The sequence below is a fragment of the Homo sapiens genome, chromosome 15, assembly GCF_000001405.40.
Source record: "Homo sapiens chromosome 15, GRCh38.p14 Primary Assembly".
NCBI lineage: Eukaryota > Metazoa > Chordata > Mammalia > Primates > Hominidae > Homo > Homo sapiens.
In genome coordinates, this window is record NC_000015.10 from 25,352,696 (window position 1) to 25,376,331 (window position 23,636).

General features: G+C 34.8%; 1 protein-coding gene and 1 long non-coding RNA gene across 50 annotated transcripts in view; one reads left to right on the forward strand and one right to left on the reverse strand.

Moving 5' to 3' along the window:
- The window catches only part of SNHG14 (small nucleolar RNA host gene 14), a 595,855-nt gene that overhangs the window by 529,088 nt on the left and 43,131 nt on the right, over nucleotides 1–23,636 (forward strand). The window lies entirely within an intron of this gene.
- UBE3A (ubiquitin protein ligase E3A) overlaps nucleotides 1–23,636 on the reverse strand; it is a 105,329-nt gene that overhangs the window by 18,968 nt on the left and 62,725 nt on the right. For 40 of the 49 annotated variants that reach the window (XM_017022548.3, XM_017022547.3, XM_047433008.1 and 37 more), the window contains 7 exons: nucleotides 22,770–23,068; nucleotides 17,871–19,117; nucleotides 7,688–7,832; nucleotides 3,996–4,201; nucleotides 3,197–3,361; nucleotides 1,833–1,988; nucleotides 1,658–1,731 (listed from right to left, as the gene is read on the reverse strand). In XM_017022548.3, the coding sequence (XP_016878037.1) occupies nucleotides 1,658–1,731; nucleotides 1,833–1,988; nucleotides 3,197–3,361; nucleotides 3,996–4,201; nucleotides 7,688–7,832; nucleotides 17,871–19,117; nucleotides 22,770–23,068 (2,292 nt within the window). The remainder of the gene's footprint in view (nucleotides 1–1,657; nucleotides 1,732–1,832; nucleotides 1,989–3,196; nucleotides 3,362–3,995; nucleotides 4,202–7,687; nucleotides 7,833–17,870; nucleotides 19,118–22,769; nucleotides 23,069–23,636) is intronic. The other 9 variants (NM_001354548.2, NM_001354545.2, NM_001354547.2 and 6 more) reach the window with 4 other exon arrangements.

Genomic DNA, 23,636 nt, shown 5'->3' on the forward strand with positions numbered 1-23,636 from the left:
ACTTTAAGTCTTCAACTACCGAATACTTGTAGACTATTTAATGAATTAATATTTTCATCATATTTATATTGAGAAAATTAAGAAGCTGAATTTAGTTAGAAAAGGTTTAGAATATCATCAACTCTTGAGGATGAGTTGGAAGCTACTTTATCTGTCATTTTTCACATAACACTAGTTTGCCCTTCAAATCATACATTTAAAAATGATCTTAAGATACATACCAAGTAGGGATTATGTTGTTATAAAAAGCTAGAAGTAAAATTAAGACTTTAATTTCAAAGATAATTTCTCTATAAAGAATAGCACAAGATATGTTCAACTATTCTCAGAGATGCATCAAGATATGACTTTTTTTCCTACTAGAAATTATATCTATGATCAATCATATTACAGAGATATTGCTGTTATACTCCTTGTGACTGATGAGGGGGGTTTTTCCTATCACCATGTTATCCCAACCCTTTAATGAATCACCTTTGAAACTCAGAACAGGTAGCAGCACAGAGGTTGCTAAGAGTAAATACATTCACCACTGCTGCCAGAAATGACCAACGGTGCACCAGAAAGAAGAAATACTGGTGAATTCCCACATACCACGACGAACAACCTTATAAAATAACAGAACAAATGAATATAAAGTAACATACAGCCATCCCTTGGTATATGTGACAGGGATTGGTTCCAGGACCACGTGTGTATACCAAAATCCATGCACGCTCAAGTTCTGCAGTTGGCCCTGTGAAACTGGCATGTATGAAAGTCAGCCCTCTGTATATGCAGGTTCTGAGTCCCACCAATACTGAATCTGCTCTTAGTTGAGAAAAAAAATCTGCATGTCAGAGGGCCCATGAAGTTCACAGCTGTGTTGTTCAAGGGTCAACTGTAATATAAAAATAACATTTATTGCTAGATAGAGTTGATATTCATTCTAGTGTTTATATACTTGAGTCTTAGAGCAATAGCCTTTGGAGACAACTTCCAGGAAGGTACGTGTTTGCATGCCTTCTCACTGCAATCCATCAGTAGCTGCCACTTGAACCAGTCTTAGCAGGGGATGGGGAAGCCTATGTCTTTCAGAATTGGATGATGTAGTACACAGAAGTAGACAGTAGAGTAGTAAGGGCATTTGCTTAAAAGCAGATAGAACTGGGAACCTCTACATCTTTCTGTGAGAATTCAGGGCTTAGTTTTTTAGGGTGTAAAATGGAAATACTAGTATGTATCTGGACATATTATCTTAAGAATTAAATAAAAGACTACCATTTCACTCAAAAAGTGCTTGATCCTGGGAAGCCATGTAACAGTTCACAAATGCAGAGTTCAAAAGAAAGGAAAAATTGCAGACATGGTAGCCTTATTTTAATTATCTTCTAACCAGCAGTAAGCATACTCTAACCAGTGAGGAATACTAGATAATCCATACGCCAAATGCAGGAGATTACATGAGACTTATATATAACAACACTTCATTCATGAAATAAATCACAAGATTAGCTCTGAAAAATGGTGATTATATTACAAATACAAATCTAAGTATATAGATGACAATTTGTGAGTTTGCTTATTTGGGAATTAGTACCTAGAGATAAAGGTCTGAAGCAAAATCACACACCCCTTTGGTGAATCAAATCTTCCTCTGAAGAACTAAGTACCTCACCTAATCAGAACAGAGTCCCTGGTATAGCCACCGTCATATTCTGTAGTTTCTTCTAGTGCTTGGAAATCTAGATTCTGCAAATTCAAGAAAATATGTCTTAGTTATCTGCTATACTACTGTATCATTACAAACAATAAATCGATACATGACTTTTTGCAGACACCTGCTTTCTTACCCGGCTTCCACATATAAGCAATTCAATTTCTTCTGGTCTGAATAAGTACTTTAAGGGAGATTCATTGGTCACCATATGAAAACCTCTCCGAAAAGCCTTGAACTGTTTTTCTACTGATTTATTGAGAATGTAGTCAGAATAAAGATTGACAAATTCCTGTAGAAAACATTAATCACAAGAACTTCTTATAATATGCTATGCAAACAAAACACAAGTTATTGGGCTGCATAGCTTTTTAATTTTTCCAAGAAAAAAACATTCAAGAATATTCTTAAAAATTCAATTTTACACCTACTTCTTAACAATTTCACAATTCTCTGTTATAGCCAATATTAAGCTATGAAAAGGCCATATACATAAAACTGTCAAGAATATTCTTAAAAATTCAATTTTACACCTACAAAGAAAACTACTTCTTACAATTTCACAATTCTCTGTTACAGCCAATATTAAGCTATGAAAAGGCCATATACACAAAACTGTCATACTTATAAATGTCAATTTCGATAATGTATTAAACAGAACTGAATATAAATGCTGGAGACGCAGAAAATTCTTTAGGTTCTCTCAACTAGGTATGTAAACAGACACATTTAAACCATGTATCCATCTATTTATAAATGCCAACCGTTTTAAGAGAGTACAATATATTTGATTTAAGCAAACCAGGAAGTCCCAAGTTTTCTACCATAGAATATTTGGTAAGCTGCCTACTGTATCCAGTTCAGCAAAAATGTGGAAGTACTGACTGACACATAAACTACTGTATCAAATCATAAAAGGAAAATGTGCTTTGTACCCTTAGTGTGTATAATATTTAATCAAAAAATTATATCAATATAAACATGTTTCTTAAAGGTATACTATATATTTGTCATAATTTTTTGCTTGTTATGTTCTGGGTTATTCCCATTCCCGATGAACACATTTTAGTCAATAGAAACCCAAATCTGACGTAAAGTATACTTTTCAGAAATGTATTTTTATCACAAACAGGATATACATGTGTAAATTAAATGTAATTTTTATTTGTTCTGTGATAAAGACCTTAATCATGAGGTTCCTGCTTACAGCTTAATACAAGAAACACCCTGCTTCTTGCTTTATACTACAACCACACTTAGCTATTAACTATCTCCTGCTTCATGTCCTCTTTCTCTAAAAGGGGCTTTAGTGCCCAACTGTGTGCTTTCATACCAACTTATATCCAAGATTTAGAAAAGTGGACTCTAGCATTTACATAAACTTAGTTACTTGTTTTTTTTTTGTACAGACTATATTAGATACTTCTTTAAAAATTATAAGCATACATGCTTTGAAAGTGTTAATGAAGAGACAAAATGTGACATAAAAACATTTATTACCTTCCTGTTTTCATTTGTAATTGGAATTTTATCACCATTTTCCTTTAGATCATACATCATTGGGTTACCAAAAAGATCTGTCTGTGATATCTGGAAAGTGATCATCATGTCATCTTCCACATTCCCTTCATACTCCAATAAATCTTTTAAACTCTGATATAGAACCTAGCAACCAGAAATGGTAAATTGAGGCCACCATAGAACTACAAAATACAACAAATAATTTATATCACTCTTCTTAGAAGACAACAAAAATCTTATCAATAAAAATTGTAAAAAGTGTAGACAGTATCCCTCCAGTCCCCCAAATAGTTTCCAACCTATAAAAGAAAGATTGTCAGTCACTGTGATGTCCCATTCTCTGCTGAGAAACCCCATACCACCAATTTAGCAATAGAATTCACACTGTGCTCTATGAGAAATTCTGTGGTGTCTCAAGGTGGGGGTGGGGGTGGTAGGAGCAGGCACACTCGTTGTAACTACCAAGACCCTTAGCCAGGGCTACTCTGATTTTTACCTATCTCTTAAGATTTCACTAAAACACAAACAAAATGTTTAGAAACACTTCTCTATGAAATCAATCTTACAAAAGCTTCGTGCTGACAGCAATATATAAAAATGTCCCCCTTTGAGTTTTTAAGTGTTTCTGGTACTTCGGTCAGATTAAAACATTTTTATCTTATTGATAAGAGTATCAACAAAGATTCTAAACAAAAACTTTAAAATTTTGACATAAATTAAATTTTTGCATTTAAATAAAATCTAAGAGACTGAATTAAAAAAATGACAAAGAACTTACTGGGTGAGAGTCTCCCAAGTCACGAAAAGTTCCTTTTTTCCCCATTAGCTTCCTGTAGACAACCATGGGAAAATGTACATCCAGTATACAGTTATTGTAAATAGCCAGACCCAGTACTATGCCAATCAGAGTAAACTGACCCTCAGTTTCAAAAGAAGATGGATTAAACCAAAACAATTTTGTAGATTCATCGTATGTGAACATACCTATAAGAAATGATTTTTAAAAATACATTACTTTTGTATTTTATTAAGGACTGATGAATAATACAAATATAAACTTAAAATAATTATGCATATAAAACATTTAAAATATATGTAATTAGGCATGCAACATTGATTTCTATTATATTAGCACTTGAGAAAACAATGTCCACATATATCTGCTATAAATTGGGGTGAATGGTGATATGTAATTTTATGAAGCCAAAGGAATAAAGTAGTAAGTAATTTGGTGGCATCGGGTAGAAAAATACGTTAATTAAATTCAAGCTTTCTAATTTTCTACTAACACATAAGAAAAGTTATATTCATGCTTTATCCACCCATAGCTGAAAAATAAACATAAAAAAACAAAAAATGGCTACATTTCCAAAGTGTTTCATTTATAAAAATATAATTACTTATATCTGTACCACACGTACTATTTTTGAAAACAATTTTTCATTTTTTTCCTTGAGATGGAGTCTCGCTCTGTTACCCAGGGTGGGCTGGAGTGGCACGATCTCAGCTCACTGCAACCTCTGCCTCCTAGGTTCAAACAATTCTCCTGCCTCAGCCTCCTGAGTAGCTAGGACTACAGGTGTGCACCACCACGCCAGCTAATTTTTGTATTTTTAGTAGAGAAGGGGTTTCACCATGTTTGCCAGGATGGTCTCAACCTCTTGACCTCGTGATCTGCCAGCCTCAGCCTCCCAAAGTGCTGGGATTACAGGCGTGAGCCACCACACCTGGCCTAAAAAACAATTTTTAATCACAGTAAAGAAAGGTTCGTTTTTTCAAAATTAGACAATGGTGCCATGAAATTTTTCTAGCATTTTCCTAATAAAATCAGATGATCTGAAATACATAAACCTGGATAAATCTGATGAACTTAGATAAACAAAGCTATTCAATACACATGTTAATTATGGGCCAATACGTAAAAGAAAAGTAGTTTCGTAGTCTTTCAATTTCACATGGTCTTCACTATGCAAGCCCCAATCATGGAGGCTTTTTTTTTTTTTTTTTTTTTTGAGACGGTCTCGCTCTGTCGCCCAAGCTGGAGTGCAGCAGCACTCAGCTTAGTGCAAGCTCCGCCTCCCGGGTTCATGCCATTCTCTGGCCTCAGCCTCCGGAGTAGTTGGGACTACAGGCGCCTGCGTGGAGGCCTTTTTTATATCACTCATTGGAAAATTGGGGCCCGGTGTGGTAGTTCACACCTGTAATCCCAGCACTTTGGGGAGGCTGAGGCAGGCAGATCACTTGAGCTCAGGAGTTCAAGACCAGCCTGGGCAAGATGGAGAAACCCCATCTCTACAAAAACACAAAAAATAAGCTGGGTGTGGTAGCATGTGCCTATAGTCTCAGCTACTTGAGAGGGTGATGCATGGGGATGGTTTGAGTCTTCAGCCTGGGAGGTGGAGGTTGCAGTGAGCCGAGACAGAACCACTACACTCCAGCCTGGGCCTCAGAGCCAGATCCTGCCTCCCTCCACCAAAAAATAAAAGATTAAAAAAAAGGAAAATTGGAATCTTTGGAATGAGTACTACTAAAAATTGATTTCTTCCCTTTTAAATGACTAAGGAAAAAAATTTTAATTGAATTTAAATCATTTTACTACATGTTTAGTTGCTACTGTGAAACAATGAAAACATCTTAAGAATTAAGTCTGAAAAAAATCTGTAATTTCCAATAGAAAAGTAGAGCTTAGAAATCAGAAATCAAATTATACAGTATATAAGTATTTTAACCTGTTTATAAGAATTTTAAAATCTTTGAAAATGTCATTGTCACTTTAAGTTTAAAAATAAGGAGCTTTAACATGTTTCCTTGATCACTAGGAGTATGAATTAAGCTTAGGACATTTTCTGAATGCAAAATGGTTTGAAAATTAAACAATTCATATTTGAGTTTCATGGTTTCTATCTAAACATTTTTTTTACAGGCCAAGTTACAACATCCATGGAAATGCTTTTAGTTATAAGTATGGTATTAACAGGATCAAGAACAGCTGACAAATAATTACAATTAATAAATTTGTTCAAGCTGACAATGGTGTGTCTAAAAAATTAATGAATTTAATAAAATGTCACAAATGCCCTTCCTTGGAACCAAGAGCAACAAGCTATAAGTTAATCAGAATATAACTCTGAAGTTCCATTTTAGGCACATTTTCTCATGTTCCAGGGAGAAAAGCACCATAACCTCCTGGTAAAATACTCCTTTTTGATACTTCTACTGCCATCACTTCAGTTATCTTACTGGAACTGCTTAATCTATGTTTTTTCTTACAAGTATTTCTGCATATAATGCAAGTATGCTTTATAGCTAAGGTTTAACATTTCTAGATACATCAAAAGCTAGAGCTAAGGTTTACCAAATTTAAGAACTTTATGAAGTTTATAATTTTCTATCTCAAAAAGGGCGTCGTCTTATGTATCTCTGATTTACTTAGAACAAACTACATACAAATGGCATAGCTTTTTAGTTATTAATAAAACACTAGCTAGATTATAGATAAGGGATGCGTGTGTGTGTGTGTGTGTGTGTGTGTGTGTGTGTGTGTGTGTGTGACTAAGAACAGTAACAGAAAGGTCAACTCAATTAGAATCAACAGGCTATAACAGCTCAAATCTCAAAGCTGAAGGGAAATGACATACATTATTCTATGCACACTCCTCACAATTCTGATGGTACCTTCAGTGGAAACCTTTTCCTGTAATTGTCATGTACTCAATTTTAAACGTAAGCAAGCTCAGTTACTAAGTGGTTATATTTACAGTAGAAACTGAACCAGTTCAGAATTATGAAGTTAAGTAGACTACCCAAAAGACTGCATCTTTTCCCTGTTCTACTTTATCACAAAAGGGAAAAAACTAAAATTCTGATCCTTCACTTTCAAATTTCCAAATCCCATCAGCCTTTCCCAAACTGTGTTCAATAACAACTCTTCTGTTAGGGCAGAAAAAGAGTTCTGGAGTTCAAAAAGTTTGGGGGAAACACTACCTATATTAAGCCCCAAGAAATCTTATAGCAAATAAACCTAATTAATGTGATATCAGCTAGTGTTTCTGAACTTTGAGCATGACATACTTGTGAGACAGTCTCTCAATACTCTTCAAACCATTGTTCTTTGAAGTTCACAGGTCAGGAAAACCGTGAGTTTGATGATGGTTTTAGACAACAAAAAGCAAAGAAATCCCTCCAACTGTTCCAATATACCATTCTAAAGTGCTTTCAATTCAGTTTACCAAAGAGATAATTTCCTTCATTAGAATATTCCTTCTAAGAAATAAAAGAATTTGAATAAATTAGTGATACAAATCAGTTCCTAAAACCTACAAATTCAGTCATGATGTGTGATTCTGGGTAATCCATACCAAATCCTTCTTTTGCTGCTCTTCATAGCTGAAAATATTTACAAAGTAAGATAAACAAATAACTAACTCAAAAGATGATACGACACCATAATCACATTACTAATGTATTTACCAATATCTGGATTGAAGATTTCCTCCACAACCAGCTGAAAAAATTCTTTGGAAACACCTCCCTCATCAACTCCTTGTTCTCCTTCAAATTCCACATACAACTGCTTCTTCAAGTCTGCAGGATTTTCCATAGCGATCATCTCTAGCTAGTGATTGAAAAGATAAACATGAAAAGAAGATGATTGCTAGTATCAGGAAAAAAACAAAATAAAAACAAGGAGTAGGATTAGGAAACAAATACAAATTTTTGACTTTTTGTATGTAAATGGAAACAGAAAGCAAACTGATAAAAAGCCAGTGAAGACAAAGATTCAGTCTTAAAGATAATCAAAAAGACAGACACAAAACAGACACTAGCATAGTAAAAAGCTAACTTTACTGATTTGTTATGAAATTAACATACAATTAATTAAGATTTTATTACTTGTGTGTTAAGTCTGGACTACACAGGACATGGAAAAGCAGCTAAATCATTTCAGCAAAAACAATGGAGTAGAGGTCTAACCTCAAAATTGTTCATTAGTAGTCCTTTATTAGAATAGAAACTCAAGGGTTAAGTCTTAGTATCTACTAAGTCATAAGTAAAATATTTCAATTAAGAAAAATACACTGAATACTAAAGCAGTTTATGGTCTCTCACAGTAAGACTTAGTATAAATTACCACCTTTTAATGGACTAGAACCCATCTTATATCCACATTTCCTTAAAAACAGGTGAGACATAACCTTACTCATGTCCTTACTCTTTTTTTTTTTTTTTTTGACATGAAATCTCACTCTGTCGCCTAGGCTGGAGTGCAGTGGCGCGATCTCAGCTCACTGCAACCTCCGCCTCCTGGGTTCAAGCAATTCTCCTGCCTCAGCCTCCTGAGTAGCTGGGATTACAGGCAGGCGCCACTACGCCTGGCTAAATTTTTTATTTTTAGTAGAGATGGGGTTTCACTACGTTTGCCAGGATGGTCTTGAACTCCTGACCTCATGATCCGCCCACCTCAGCCTCTCAAAGTGCTGGGATTACAGGCGTGAGCAACTGCACCCAGCCCTTATTCTTAAATTGTAAGTTAACAAACTTTAGTGTCTAGCATTTTCTCAACTATAAATCTTTTACCAAATATTTTTGTGTACCTATAGAATTATGAATATACAGTAACCTCATTGAGATTAATCATAAAATCAACACTAGATTCCAATATTAACTGTTTATACTGCATTTTGTTTGTTTTACTTTATGTATCTAAAATTTGCTAACAGTATGACTGTATCCAGTACATGGATGGATACTGTATCTAGTACATGGATGGATACTGTATCCAGTATCCATCATATCTCCTAACTTGCCTTCAAACATCTGTTGGCTGGTTAAAAAAATTTAATCTTGGAGATGAAAATTTACCAAAACAGGATATTAAATGTTTTCAGGTTATTCCAACTATTTCAAACAGAATTTTAAAAATGGTTTTGAAAAATGCAATAATCACTGAAACAACTGTAACACAGCACTATAGTAGTTAAAGTAATAATACTCATTTGGACAATCTAGTCTGTCTACAAAAAATAAAATCTCATAAATTAACGCATCAGGTCAGGTTGCCCGAGAGCATTGTTTTTTCAAACTTGTCACCTGCAACTCATTAGTGGGTAGTCTAATCCATTTAGTGGTTTGCAATCAGCAATGGGAAAATCAGAATGCATTCCACATAGTAATGGAACCTACTGTTTTGTGAAACTTTTGTTTCAATTAGATGTACAGATGGATAAGCATGTACTGGGATGCTATGTAAAATACTAGGGATTGCAGTCAAAGAGTTTGACAAAACTAGCTGAAATTATCTTCTGGGTATCTTCAACTTTAGGGTCCTATTCTGTGAATTTAGTCTTTAGCTTTAAATAATGTCTGTTGTTGTTCAACACCGATCTCTAATATTTACAAAATCATTTTTAGGCCACACAGTTTACTTTTAGACAATGTTTTGTTATGGAAAGACCAAGAGTCAGTCAGAATTCACCTTACTAGTCCCAACTCTCACTTACCATAACTTTTAACCTTTAAACTTTAGCACGCGATTCAATTAAGCCTCAGTTTCCTCAACATACTGTAAGTTGTGAAGGCTTATTAAGAATATATGAGAACGAGTGTTACCTTTTAAAATAGTTTTGCTCTCTGAACAACAGATTTGCAATTTTGTGTCCCCAAAGGAACTTGATATAGACTAGTTCCAAGATCTAGAGTCAAACAAATGTAGATGTGAAAATAACCTTGGGGAAAAAAATAGTTTCAGTTGGAAACCTGTTTCAAGCTACGGAGTATACAGAATTCTGAGGAGACTAAAATTAGAATTAACATCTTAGCTCAAATGTGGGACCAGGCCAACATTCCATATTGCCATGTAATCCATTCTGAGTTTCCTTATGCCAGTTCCCAACTGGCTAGGTGTTAAAGATGTAAGTCAGTGTTTATATTTACCTTTACATCCAAAGGTATACTTGCTTTTATCAAATATAATGTATTCCAAAGTGGGGAAAAAAAAGGTTATCTGGTATTTAGACTGTGCATTCTACAGCTTTTCCCCACTAACATTCATAGATGAGAGCTGACTCCTTATCAATGTAAAACCTTTTAAAGGATGTGGTGGTGAATTTCTACAGGATTGAGAGGCCCTGTGTTCTATCTAGTCTTAGCTCTACCTAAGACATGTCAAATGATAACTGAAGCAAATTTATCTTTATTCTCCATAAAATATTACATGTCTGTCCACTTCCACTGATCTCTATTCTATGCTCCCCACCTTGGTGCCAAAAGAATGTAATGCAATGCAATATGTTCTATTGTAAATGCAAACATACAACTTTACCTCTCTTATTTCATCTGTAAAATAACCATAATAATATAGTAATAAATTAATGTATGAACTGCTTAGATTAATTCCCTGCATAAAGTTAGTGCTTAAAAGTACTAGCTGTTGTTGCTGTTATTTTATTGGTTCTAAAATATTTTCTGAAAACCTACCATAGCATTATAGAACAAAAATATTCCATGAATACAGCAACAATAATATATAGCACTTTTGTAGCATTTCACACATAGCAACTAATTTAATCTTCACAACACCCTTATGAGGAAGGAAACATTAACTCCACTTTACAGATAAGGACCCCAAGATACTGAAAGGTGAAATAACTTCAAGTCACAGTAAGTCACAGTAAGTTGTGGAACAGAGATACTAATCCAGGAAACAAGCTCTTAACTACTATGCTTTACTCACTCTCTTCAATGACGACCAAAAATTTTTTTTTTAGGATTATGAGTGATTTTTATTTTCCTTATTCTTTTCCATATTTTTCCATTTTTTACAACAAATACATTTTTCAGAGTCAGAATGTGTTCAAATATAAATATGTAAAAAGAATAATTTGAAAAGTAGTTGGTAACTGAATTCTGTAGGCAAAAATTTTGTTATTACCTATTTTAGATTACCATTCTGGTACACATAAGTGATTTCATAAAATACTGTACCACTTAAGAATAAAGGCTGGGCGCCGTGGCTCACACCTGTAATCCCACCACTTTGGGAGGCCAATGCAGGCAGATTGCCTGAGCCCAGCAGTTTGAGATCAGCCTGGGCAACATGATGAAACCTTGTTTCTACAAAAAACTAATAAATAAATAAATAAATAAATAAATAAATAAATAAAAAATAGTGGGGGGTGGTGGCATGCGCCTGTCATCCCAGCTACTTGGGAGGCTGAGGTGGGAGGTCAAGGCTGCAGTCAGTAGAGATCGTGCCACTGTACTCCAGGCCTGGGTGACAGAGTTAAGACCCTGTCTCAAAAATTAAAATAAATAAAATAGTAAAAACAGAATACATAAATAGCCTTTAAAACTATTTTATTTTAAATTATTAACACATAAAATTTAGCAATAACCATTTTGATAAAGGCCATTATTGCATAAACAGCTGTACTGATAATTCTTTTTCTTAAAAATAACCTCCATCAATTGTTCGGTCAATTTAAAAAAGATTTAACAAATAAACTGTAAAGGTGTATTCTTTACATAATAGCTATATTATTTAAAATTGTATGTTGTTGTTTAAACCCAAACCTCACCATAAAACTGTATTTTTTAAGTCAGAAGTTGTTTTAAATGCATTAGGATATTTGAAATTTGGAGGACTATGTCTAAACATTCTGAAAAGGAGAACGTGCATGCATGCCTGAATTTATTTACAATACACACGTGGATTTTTAGGGTTTTTTTTGTTTGTTTTTTTTTTTTTTTTGAGACGGAGTCTCGCTCTGTCGCCCAGGCTGGAGTGCAGTGGCGCAATCTTGGCGCACTGCAAGCCCCGCCTCCCAGGTTCATGCCATTCTCCTGCCTCAGCCTCCCGAGTAGCTGGGACTACAGGCGCCTGCCACCGCGCCTGGCTATTTTTTTTTGTATTTTTTAGTAGAGATGGGGTTTCACTGTGTTAGCCAGGATGGTTTCGGTCTCCTGACCTTGTGATCTGCCCGCCTTGGCCTCCCAAAGTGCTGGGATTACAGGTGTGAGCCACCGCGCCAGGCCAATTTTTAGGTATATTTAAAAGTACAGTGTATGTTGTATTTATTTAACATGGAGACTAGCAACAGACAGAGATTACTGGGGAAAAATAAACAAAAATATCCTGGATATAATCATATCTACCTCTTCACTGCGTAACTTCCTCTTCTTTAAGACTCTTGATTTCATCAATTGCTGGATAAAATGATTTTTAATTTCTGAACTTTTTAATTGGCCATGATGATGAAATCCTAGGGAGTTCATTTTTTAAAAAAAAAATCTGACCTGATATCAAAGCATTTGCAGAATACCTAGCAGGATGACATCTTAATATCAAAATATGATATTACTAGACTTACAGGAATCAAAAGGAAAACCTTATCACTTAAAATCTTATAGTTTTCTGAGCTATTACATCAAATCAATTCATAATTTTTTAAAAAAATTCCTTAATACCATGAATATTTAAGTAGAAGCAATAATCAGATAAAAGAGACCTCTAATACTTAAGAATGCCTGGGATTTCTAAGAAAGGCTAGCTTCAAGGCCGGGCGTGGTGGCTCATGCCTGTAATCCCGGCACTCTGGGAGGCCGAGGCGGGCGGATCACGAGGTCAGGAGATTGAGACCATCCTGGCTAACACGGTGAACCCCATCTCTACTAAAAATACAAAAAAATTAGCTGGGCATGGTGGCAGGCGCCTGTAGTCCCAGCTACTCGGGAGGCTGAGGCAGGAGAATGGCATGAACCTGGGAGGCGGGGCTTGCAGTGAGCCAAGATTGCGCCACTGCACTCCAGCCTGGGTGACAGAGCAAGACTCCGTCTAAAAAAAAAAAAAAAAAAAGAGGAAAAAGAAAGAAAGGCTAGCTTCAACTACTTCAGTCAACTTGAGGCTTAAACTATTGCTTGAGATTTCCAGATTATCCAAATTAATTTTTTCATGTTCACGATAAACACATGAAGAAAAGTCTGTTATATCTCAAATGTAGTTTAAATGTTTGGGTAACACCAAATCACATAATCACGTTCGTCCATGAGACCTGGAATCCTGACTTCTATTTCCAATTCTGCCATTAATTTATGTAGGCTGGAATCTCTTTTAGATTTCATTTTCCTCACATGTAATACTAAGTTTGATGTTTCATTGTCTTAAATTATTATATAATGCTGAGGATCTATGTATATATAGGCTTCATTCTCTCATTCAGTTTCTGAGAAATTACTTTGAGGGCATAAACCAAGCATATTTCTTGGTTTCATTTTTGATTTCAATTAGAATAAATCACAAGAAAGAACAATGGAAATTACATGTTAACCACAATATAGTGTATGTGTAAGACAAAATTAAACATACCTAGTGCAGCACAGAATAATCTCATTTTTAAAGCTCTGTGAGTCAATGAATAAATAAAAGAATTACGTTCATGTTTCACTAGTAAGAGTGTTCACCAATGCTGGAAGCTGGGAGCTGAAAATGCTGGAAGCTGGGTTAGACTAGGCTATTAGAAACCAGATAAAAAGGGCCAGTGACTTTTAGAGGGGATTTTGCAGAACCTCCTGGTAGTGGGGCTTTTTATCTGTGCCAATCACCTTTATCTGTGCTAATTCCTATTTTTGAACTTCCCTATTCAATTCCACATCTCAGCCATTCCTTTTGGTTTTTAGATATTTATGTGAAATGCTAGAACTCCCTGACTAATTGGAACCAAGTTTCACATCATCATCATCCTCTATTCCAAGCTTGCTGTCCCCATGATCCTCTTAAAAATCTGAGTTTCCAAAACACATAAACATACTTGTATATCAAAATGGCCTTTCTCTTTCTCTCTATATATGCACACATACACACATAAACACACATGCACACACACCCCCACCTGAGCTGAACCAAAGGCCATCTTCCCAAATATTGGAGTCTGGCTTTATCAAAATATTTGTGGAGTATTACCAGAAGTTCAGATTCATAGGCTCTACAATACAGCTTCTAATCTAAACCTCTAGAGGTTAGGGCCCTGGATTTTATTTATTTATTTATTTATTTTTTTTAAACAATTTTCCCATTCAGATGTGAAGGCAGTTTGAGGGACCTCATGATGGCAATACTATATTCTTCCATAAACTTATAACCTCTATCTTCTCCTTTAAGAAGTAATTTAAAAAATCTTAATACATACTATCATTGGAAGTGCTTCATCTAAGAAAAATGAGAAATTATCTACTTGTAAAAGAACACACAAATGGGTATATTTACATATTTGTAAATATGTAAATATTTACATATTTGTAAATATGTAAATATTTACATATTTGTAAATATGTAAATATTTGCATATTTGTAAATATGTAAATATTTACATATTTAAATTAAATTAATTTACATATTAAATTAAATTACATATTTATATTAAAAATGTAAATTTGTAAATATGGTTTTACATATTTGTAAAAACCTCATCACATTAGGAATGTCATTCAAATGAAAGGTGAAGTCTAAGCTCATGTTTATCACTGTACTGTTTTCTAAGGAACAATAACGAAAAAATACTGAAAATAAGTCCTAGGGGAACTATGGCAGTAAGTTAAACGGGTAGGGTGGGGGTGTTCTTAAGCAGTTCTAAGGTATTTGTGAAGAGACAACTTATATTCTATTGATTCTAAAATTCACTTTTTTCACATTATCTCTGAAATCAGATTACACCATACAAATGATAGCATCTTACAATGAATTGCTGGTATTTTTCTGTCTTAGCAGTAATAAAATGATAGTGTTTCCTACAATCAGAGATTAGTGAAAATACTATCAACATGAATTCTTCTCTTGTCATCAAAGACAATTTCTCTAAAAACCTCAGGAAAAAAGCTGCTAGTCTGGTTTGAATTTCACAATATATAAAAGCAATGAATATATTTTTCTTTTTTAAAAAAATCCACAATTATTAATTCAAGTTACCACTCCTCAACAGAAAACATACAAGAGTCTCATATATGAAGTCACTATTTTCTGGGCTTGATTTCTAAACTAAGGAGTGGATAACTCTAAGGTTTCTTTTAGCTCTTAAAGCCTAGGATCCCATAATTTTATTTATCAATATTAAGCTTACCACAAAGTTTCTCATTTCTTCTTTTCCACCCAACCCTGCTATACAATTCCAAAATTAGCAAGTCATAAAAAAGTGGCCACTAGTTTGTTCACTGTGATATATAAGAATGAGGCTTAAAAAGCAGAGATCCTTGGGAAATAAGATCTTGAAAAATTCATCACTTTTGAGCTTTCATATGAGAGAATAATCTTAAACCACTTTCTATTATAGAACTTCTACTATGTGTTACTAAAATATGTGGCTTTATCATAATCATCACCTGCTGTGAATACTTACTTCAAAAAATTACACAGGTTATCAATTTTACTTATAAGACCTATTTCGATGCTGGTTTTTCTAGTCTTTTCACATTCTGTTATTTTTTTAAAAAAAAGAAAAGGAAGAAAAAGCAAGGGAGAAAGAAAGTTAAGAGTAAAATCTGCTTAGTGTGAGCATTCAGAGCCCCTAAGGAAGCTTCTCTGTAAGCATCATCTCTTTCTATTTTCACAGTTTATTAAACTGCCTAACACACATGATTTCTGAAGTGAACTGCTTTTGTGGGCTGGCAATATTCAAGTACATATACTATCTAGTGAATCCTGATTTATGATAGGCCACACTATATTATCTAATTTTGATATAATTAAGCAGAACTTGCTAAAAACAAGTTACCATAATTAAAGAGCTCACAGTTAATTTTACACTAACACCTAAGGCTTTAAAAGCAGTTGTTTCCTTAAAATTCTAGAATAGAATTTAAAATATAGAATAAAGTATATACCAAGTACTTAAACTTTTGTTTTTAGTCTTGCTTTACTAGAGAAAAAAATGGGGGACTGAGGAAAATAAGACTGAGTAGACTTCTGAGCGAAAGACAGATAAGGAAGGTAGACAATTTTTTGAACCCTGGAATGATTCTTACAGTGTAATTTCATTGCCTTTTAAAGGCTAGACATAGCTTTTGATGAAGACAGCTGAAGGGATCTCACCTCAAGAAGCCAAACATAAAGTATGTAGCTTTGGCATTTGCAGTTCTGCTCCAACAATGGATAGTCATAGACAGACCTCAACATACCTTTCATAAAACATCACTCACATTCTTATAAAATACCCTATCATTCTGCTAAACTATGTAAAGTAAGGTGCTGGCTGCCTTATGATCAGTCATTAAGTGTATTAATTATTCATGTGTCTCAAAACTATGTAAGTGAAATAAAAAGGGTACCAGAAAGCAAGCAATAATAATGACTTCAGGCAGTTAAAGCCCCCTTTTGTCTCTGCTAGAAAACCACCTGAGTTGCTTAAATAATGCAGAATCTTTCTCCAACACTATAAACATATCTGACATTAAAAAAAAAAAACAAACCAGTAACAAAAAAAAAAAAAACACACAAAATCTCTGCAATTTTTAATTTCTGAGATGTCAAATAACTTTTTCCACCGGGCTACAGCTTTATGAATTCTCGAATTTAGACAATTCTAAAACTAAAATTTAGACATTCTAAAACTAAAATACATTTTAAAGTAAAAATCACATTTCCTAGTTGTCTGTGTCAGACAACTTTACTAGTATACTATAGTATTATTAACTACCTTAATTTTTGTTGACATTAAATTTTACTTGAAGATGATAAAAAAGTAGCAGCAATGACAGGGATAGCTAATACTAGAAATACAATAAAGCTCTGCGATAATGCACCTGAGACAAATGTAAATTTTGGTGAAATGTGACTGACGACTGCTTTCTGTCTTCTGGCCACTCTTATATTCTTAAACAGATACACTAAAATTATCTTGTGGAGGAAAGAAAAGGAACAAATGGCAACCCCATCTGGAAAACCAGGAAGTTAGGATGAGTACCTGAGTTTCCAGTATTTCCCTGCTCAATCTCCCTGGACTTGATGTTACAGGCACCACTAATCCCCAGATTTTTGGAATAGCTGCTGTTTTCCAGAAGTTCCAAGACCCAGAGTTGTCTCTATGAATTTTTAAGTGGGAAGAAACTACCACAGCCAGGCAGTGCCGTCCACACAGGGATATTCTAAGTGGCCCAGCAGGACTCAACTCTTACTGGCAACAGGCACTGATCTGCCATGGTCACTTCATCAAGTCCACAATAATGCAACTCTGAATTTTACACGATGGAATTTTTTGGACACTACCTATAATTTTATGGTATGGTTTTACTGTACCATTACTCCCAGTTCAAGACTGCACATCCACACTTATTATTGGGTATCTCCACATTTCTCTTGTTCTGGTCTTTGTCCAACACTCTATTCTCTTCTGAATGAAAGAAACTTTGGATTTAGTTTTCAAGATTTAGAAAACCCATTCTTTTTCAAAGATAGCATGACCATTATATAATACAACCGATACTTTGTAGAACACATCTATAAACTTGCACAGGAACAACAAAAGTATAATACTTATATAAGATCAGAAATGTCCATGTGTTCCTATGCTATATGGTATCATTTTTTTCAGTCACTTTTAAAATGAATTCACTGAACTGTATCATGATATCCCCATTATTAGGTTTTTAATCTAGCAGCCCAACTTACCCGGACAAGTGCATCATCTATGATATGGTCACGTCTAACTTTGAGTCTCAAATATGGATTCAACTGCTGTCCTTGAACTAAGCTGTAGAGAACAGTGATTCTTCGTTCACTGTACATGCGAATTCTATTGTCATAATATAATCCCAAATTCTTTGTGACAGCATTCAATATAAAGGGACATGTCATAAAAGAGAATTTGTTCTCTGTTTCTACTTTGAAAAAAGTATAATCTTTATCCATTTCTAGAACCTCATTCAGTGGTTCATTAATAAACTCTTCAAAAGGGATAAGTGGTTTTCGACAATCCAGGGTTTTAACACCAAGTTCAGTTTCCAGGGGGTCCACTCGAGGACCTTTCTTGTTTCTTCTTTCTTCTCCCAAAAGTTCCTGAAGTGTCAGCTCGCTGGACTCAGGGATGGGCTCTTCATCATCTTCTTCATTGTGATTTGTGTCCACTTCCCCTCCCACTACATTTGCATAGTAAACCATTTTCAAGCACTTCGAAGCAGCAACAATGGCATCATCATCATTCACTAGATTTCGACTGTTAAATTCATTGCTTATGACTTTATAAGTAATAAGTTGCTGAAATGTCTCCATCATTCTCCGAATCTGGTCTGCATTGTATTTAGACCACAGTCTGATCAGTTTTCCTTGGGCTGCAAGGGGTAGCTTGCTCATCGCTTTGCAAAATAATGGCAAAGCCATTTCCAGATATTCAGGACTGTGGAGATTTCTATTCTCCATTACGATAATGAACAAATTCAGATAATTAGGATCTCGAGAGTATACATTGTGATACGTCAAGTCACATTCCACGTTAGGTGACAAATATACAAGTGCATTGAGAAAGGCAGTTTCAATTTTTTCATTAGAGAGCAATCTGGTGTAGACCCTTCTAATGGCATCAATATCCACAGACACATCATCAGGGCCTAATTTTTGCAAATTGTTGTCTCCCTGTGAGCTATCACCTATCCTTGAGGAAGATGCTTCTGAGTCTTCTTCCATAGCAGCAGCAGAACATGCAGCTTTTTCCTTTTCATCTTCATCTTTGTCTTCATCTTTTGCTTGAAGAGATTTCAGTTCTTCCTTGGTGTGTTGTTTAACTTTCCGGAAGCTCTGTACCAATGCCTCAGCACTAGAAAAAACTCTTCCAATAACACGGATTAAAGGGGAATAATCCTCTCTTTCTCTACATAATTCAAGAATTTCATATACCTTCTCTTCTGTTAAGTAAGTCACATCTAGAAAATCAGAGGAAAAAAGAGAACATTTATTTTCATAATATGTATGTTTACTCTGTTGCAAAAAGTTCTAAAAGTAAAACAGCCAAACATTCTAGGCTCAATATCATTTATGATATACAACTCTTAAAGTATCTAATACTTAGATTCAGCAAACAAAATTTAATGCTTACCTATTTTTTTCAATGAACTACCTACCTATACCAATGACCTCACCCATGCTTTTACATTCTTTCAACAATGTATAACTCTTAATAAGATCATGAGTTTAAACTTTCTTTATAATCAAGATATCTATTAATGTATAGCTTTAATTATAAATATGAACCAATATGTCATGTACTGATTAATCATAATACAGCTCTTAAAACCTCACTGTAGAACACACAGAAATACTACTAATCTGTGAGTTTTCTTGTTTCAGTACTCTGTTCTCCAAAGACTAAGAAGGCAAGGTCTTAAAAAAAGGCTCCTTCAGCATCTATGTATGTATTAAAATCAAACTGGTTCATTTTGGGTCTTCCTAGTTTGTTCCAGGGTAGTCATTCTGTGAGTGATTGAGAAGAATATACCATTTCTCATCGGCTCTTAAGTAGAAACTGCTTTCCACAGCCAGGAATCAGGTTAGACTAAATCTCATAGAGTGACAGAAAATAGTTTTTGAGCAATGAAAACAAACAGTGCAAAGAAGTAAACTTATGAGCTGGCAAGCAGTGCAGAGACTATGTAGTCATCAAAATCTATTTCCTCTTTTCCTGGGCACAGAGTTGGACCACATTTCCCAACTTTTTGAGATAAGTGTTATTTTCAGGCCAAGGCTTTCTCCCTTCTGGCTAATAGGATGAAAGATATTTCATTTCACAGGTAAAAACAAATGATATATTTTGTGTACTGACCAACATAATACTGAGAATAGTCTTAATTCTCCCTTTTATCAATAAAGTGACATACTTGTCATCATCAGATTAACTACTTGAGAGGTTAATTTTAGAGGCACACAGACAATCCTACCTCCATTGCGCCAAATATACCCTTATACATGTAGTGTACAACATGTAGAATTTTTAATGACTCCCACCTCTGCTATAATATATGTTTCACAATGAAAGACAATATAAAATGTAAGTGATCATTGAATGGTCTCCAAAAATTGAAGCACAAAAATACCAAATTTTATCATACTAAGGATCTGATCTGTGGCCCAGCTACAAGAGTACCAACACTTACAGTTTCTTTTATGGGCCTTAACTCTTTAAGAACTAATTCTCAGGTTTGTTCTATTAAGAATATATAAGCATCTTTTGCTAAACATCAGTAACCTCTTCCCCAAAAGCATAAAACCACTGGAAACCTATTTCTCATTATTTTCATTGAAAATTTTTAAAATACCTTCTTACAAGACAATGCAAAACTCCTAATTTCCTAAAATGTAACATAACAGAAAATACTACTATCCTATTAGGACATGAAACACTTTGCTTCCTGAGCAAGTCATAAGGTTAACAAAGACTTGCTTTGCATGCAGTAATATGGCCTGTCCTAGGGATCACCATTCTAGACTCACATGTCCTTTGTTGATATGTCATGCTTTCGGAACATCTTCAAGTGATTCTGACAGTCTACTAATCCTATATAGAATGTACCTATACTTTTTCCAAGGAGTGTTTTTTGTTGTTGTTTTTTGACATGGAGTCTCACTCTGTTGCCAGGTTGGAATGCAGTGGCACCATTTCGGCTCACTGCAACTTCTGCCTCCCGGGTTCAAACGATTCTCCTACCTCAGCCTCCCAAGTAGCTGGGACTACAGATGCACGCCACCACAACTGGCTAATTTTTTTGTATTTTTAGTAGAGAGGGGGTTTCACCACGTTGGCCAGGTTGGTCTCGATCTCTTGACGTCGTGATTCGCCCGCCTCAGCCTCCCAAAGTGCTGGGATTACAGGCGTGAGCCACTGTGCCTGGCCTGTAGTGTTTAATATGTTAAACTGAATTTTTCAGGTATATAGATAAAAATTAGTCAAAAAACACTGTAATTAGATATGAACATTCAAAAAGTTTGGTTTATTGATACAGGTGTTCTACTGAGAAAGACATTTTTATAAGATTTCTTGTGATAAATGTGTCCCTGAAAATACTCAATCTTTTAAATTTTGCACTTAAAAACCTCCTACGCAAAAACAGTTTGGTGCAGACTACTTAATACTTATGCAACTTTGTAATTAGTGTTAACAAACATAATTAATAATCAAAATAAGAGTACTAGTGTACAGAAAGCATCTCTAATTTCCAATATACAATAGTAACTATAGAACAATGCAAAAACAAAAACAAAAAAACCAGTAACGAACAGGGAACAGTAACAGTAGCATATTAGAAAACAGGGATAAGGAAAGGTCACAACTGCTATAATGCAGACTTGAGCAAAAAGAGGAGGGGGCATAAAGACTGGATAAAGCCACACAATAAGCACCTCTAAGATGGAGCACGTGGCCAAAAGAGCAGATGAGCACATTCCTCATGTACCACATCCCCCGCAGCTGGCTGCATTCCACTGTGCCAGCACTCTACATTCAGTTACTGGTACTCTCTGGTGCACACTTACTGGAGAACTGTGTACAATAAAGTCAATGCAGCTTCCACATTATACTGACACACTATATATACAGACAACATTTACCTATTTTCCCATAGTGTGTGAACTAATTCATGAAACAGAATTATACACTCTGAAGCAACAAAGTTGTGTAAAGTGACGAAAATAATTTTATTGTGGAAACAGAGTAGAGGTTATAACACAATGCCACTTCACTAATTCTTTCAAACTTGATTCAAATGATGTTAGTGAAAGTTTTAGAGGCAAATGCCTCTAAAATTCTCTGACTTGTATGTCATAAAAAAAAAGCTTTCTCTCTTAAAATACAATTGCCTCTGGGTGTGTGTAGGGGTGAGAGTGGAGGGGCGCTAAGCCCTGGTAGTCATTCAAAAATTTGATTACTTTGTTACTAATTACCTTCACTGAAGAAAATAACTTGGAGTTTTAGTATTAGCGACAAGGTAATCGAATTCTGAATTTTGGACGTAGGACCATTTAGAAAACAAAAGACCTGAGTGAAGACTGTCATTGGTAGGTCATGATCCTTGGCAGCATGACTGTACCAAATGTCCGGAAGGAGAGTGAGAAGCATATATCTGAAGGAAACGTAGAATTCTCACATAACTATCACAAAATTTTGTCTTGCCTTCAAAAATGGAAAAAACCCACTGTTTCCTCTTTCTGCTTCTTTCATCACATCATCCTGAGGTTCCAGAACTCATGCCAGATACTTAGTCCAGTTATTCTATAACTTAAATAGATGTTGTGGCCTAGTTTTGGAGATTCACTACCACTTAATACATTTTTCCTAAGAATTTTAAAAAGTTCAAATCAATCTATTAACAAATGAACTTTTGGCATATGATCTGCTTCTAATTAGCAATGATTAGACCTGTAAAATGTAGTTATTATTCCTGTCCGTTACCACAATAAAAAATTGGTTCTACGATATCAAAATGTCTTTATGTCACAGAAGAAAAAACAAATAAAAACTAATACATTTAAATCTCCCACATGGTTTTCAGGCAACAATTCTCAATTGAAAATAAAACATCTTACCTTTAAAATCAATTCTAGCGCCTTTCTTGTTCATTTTTATCTCAGAGCAGGAGTTGTTGGGGGCACCTTTCGAGTTCTCAAGGTAAGCTGAGCTTGCTCCTTTCTTGGAGGGATGAGGATCACAGAGTTTTGCATTAATCTTATAAAGCTCGAGGGCTTTAATAGCTGCTGCATTATTATCCATACGAAGAAAAGTTGGACAGGAAGCACAAAACTCATTCGTGCAGGCTTCATTTCCACAGCCCTCAGTTAACTGGTGGTAGTAGCGTTCTATTAGATGCTTTGCAGCTGCTCGCTTCCTGTACCAAACATTCAAACAATAAGCACAGTGATTAGTACAGCTCTCAAGTACAAAGCTCAACATATCATCAAGGCAAAAGTTAGTCAAGCACTGAAGTGATTAACCTGTGTATGAAGATGAGAAGTAGAAAATGGAGATGCACTATTTACCACAACTCCTGACTAGTGAAATAGTTAATAAATATTTTCTAGGATATTATGATAAAGAATGTCAATGCTTACTGACTGTATTAACAGAGTATACATTCCTTTGGTTTAAAAGGGGGGAGGGGGGCTTGTCTGATGGTATATGTGCTTAAGTTGTTTAGTACAACAGCTGAAAAATCACAAGGTTTACAGCTAAGAGTTGTAGGATTCTATCATTTTAAAAATTAGCATTAGGAAAATGAGTCTATTTAAAGCATCAATCCGGTTTTCTTTTACATAATCAGTATTTCATTTTTAACAGCTTGTAAACATTTGACTTATAGTTAACACAGAATATCTATCTGGAATAAAAACTATTTTTCCCAATTATCAACAACATGGGAGACTTAAAAATAAATTTGTAAGTGGAATATCCAAAGA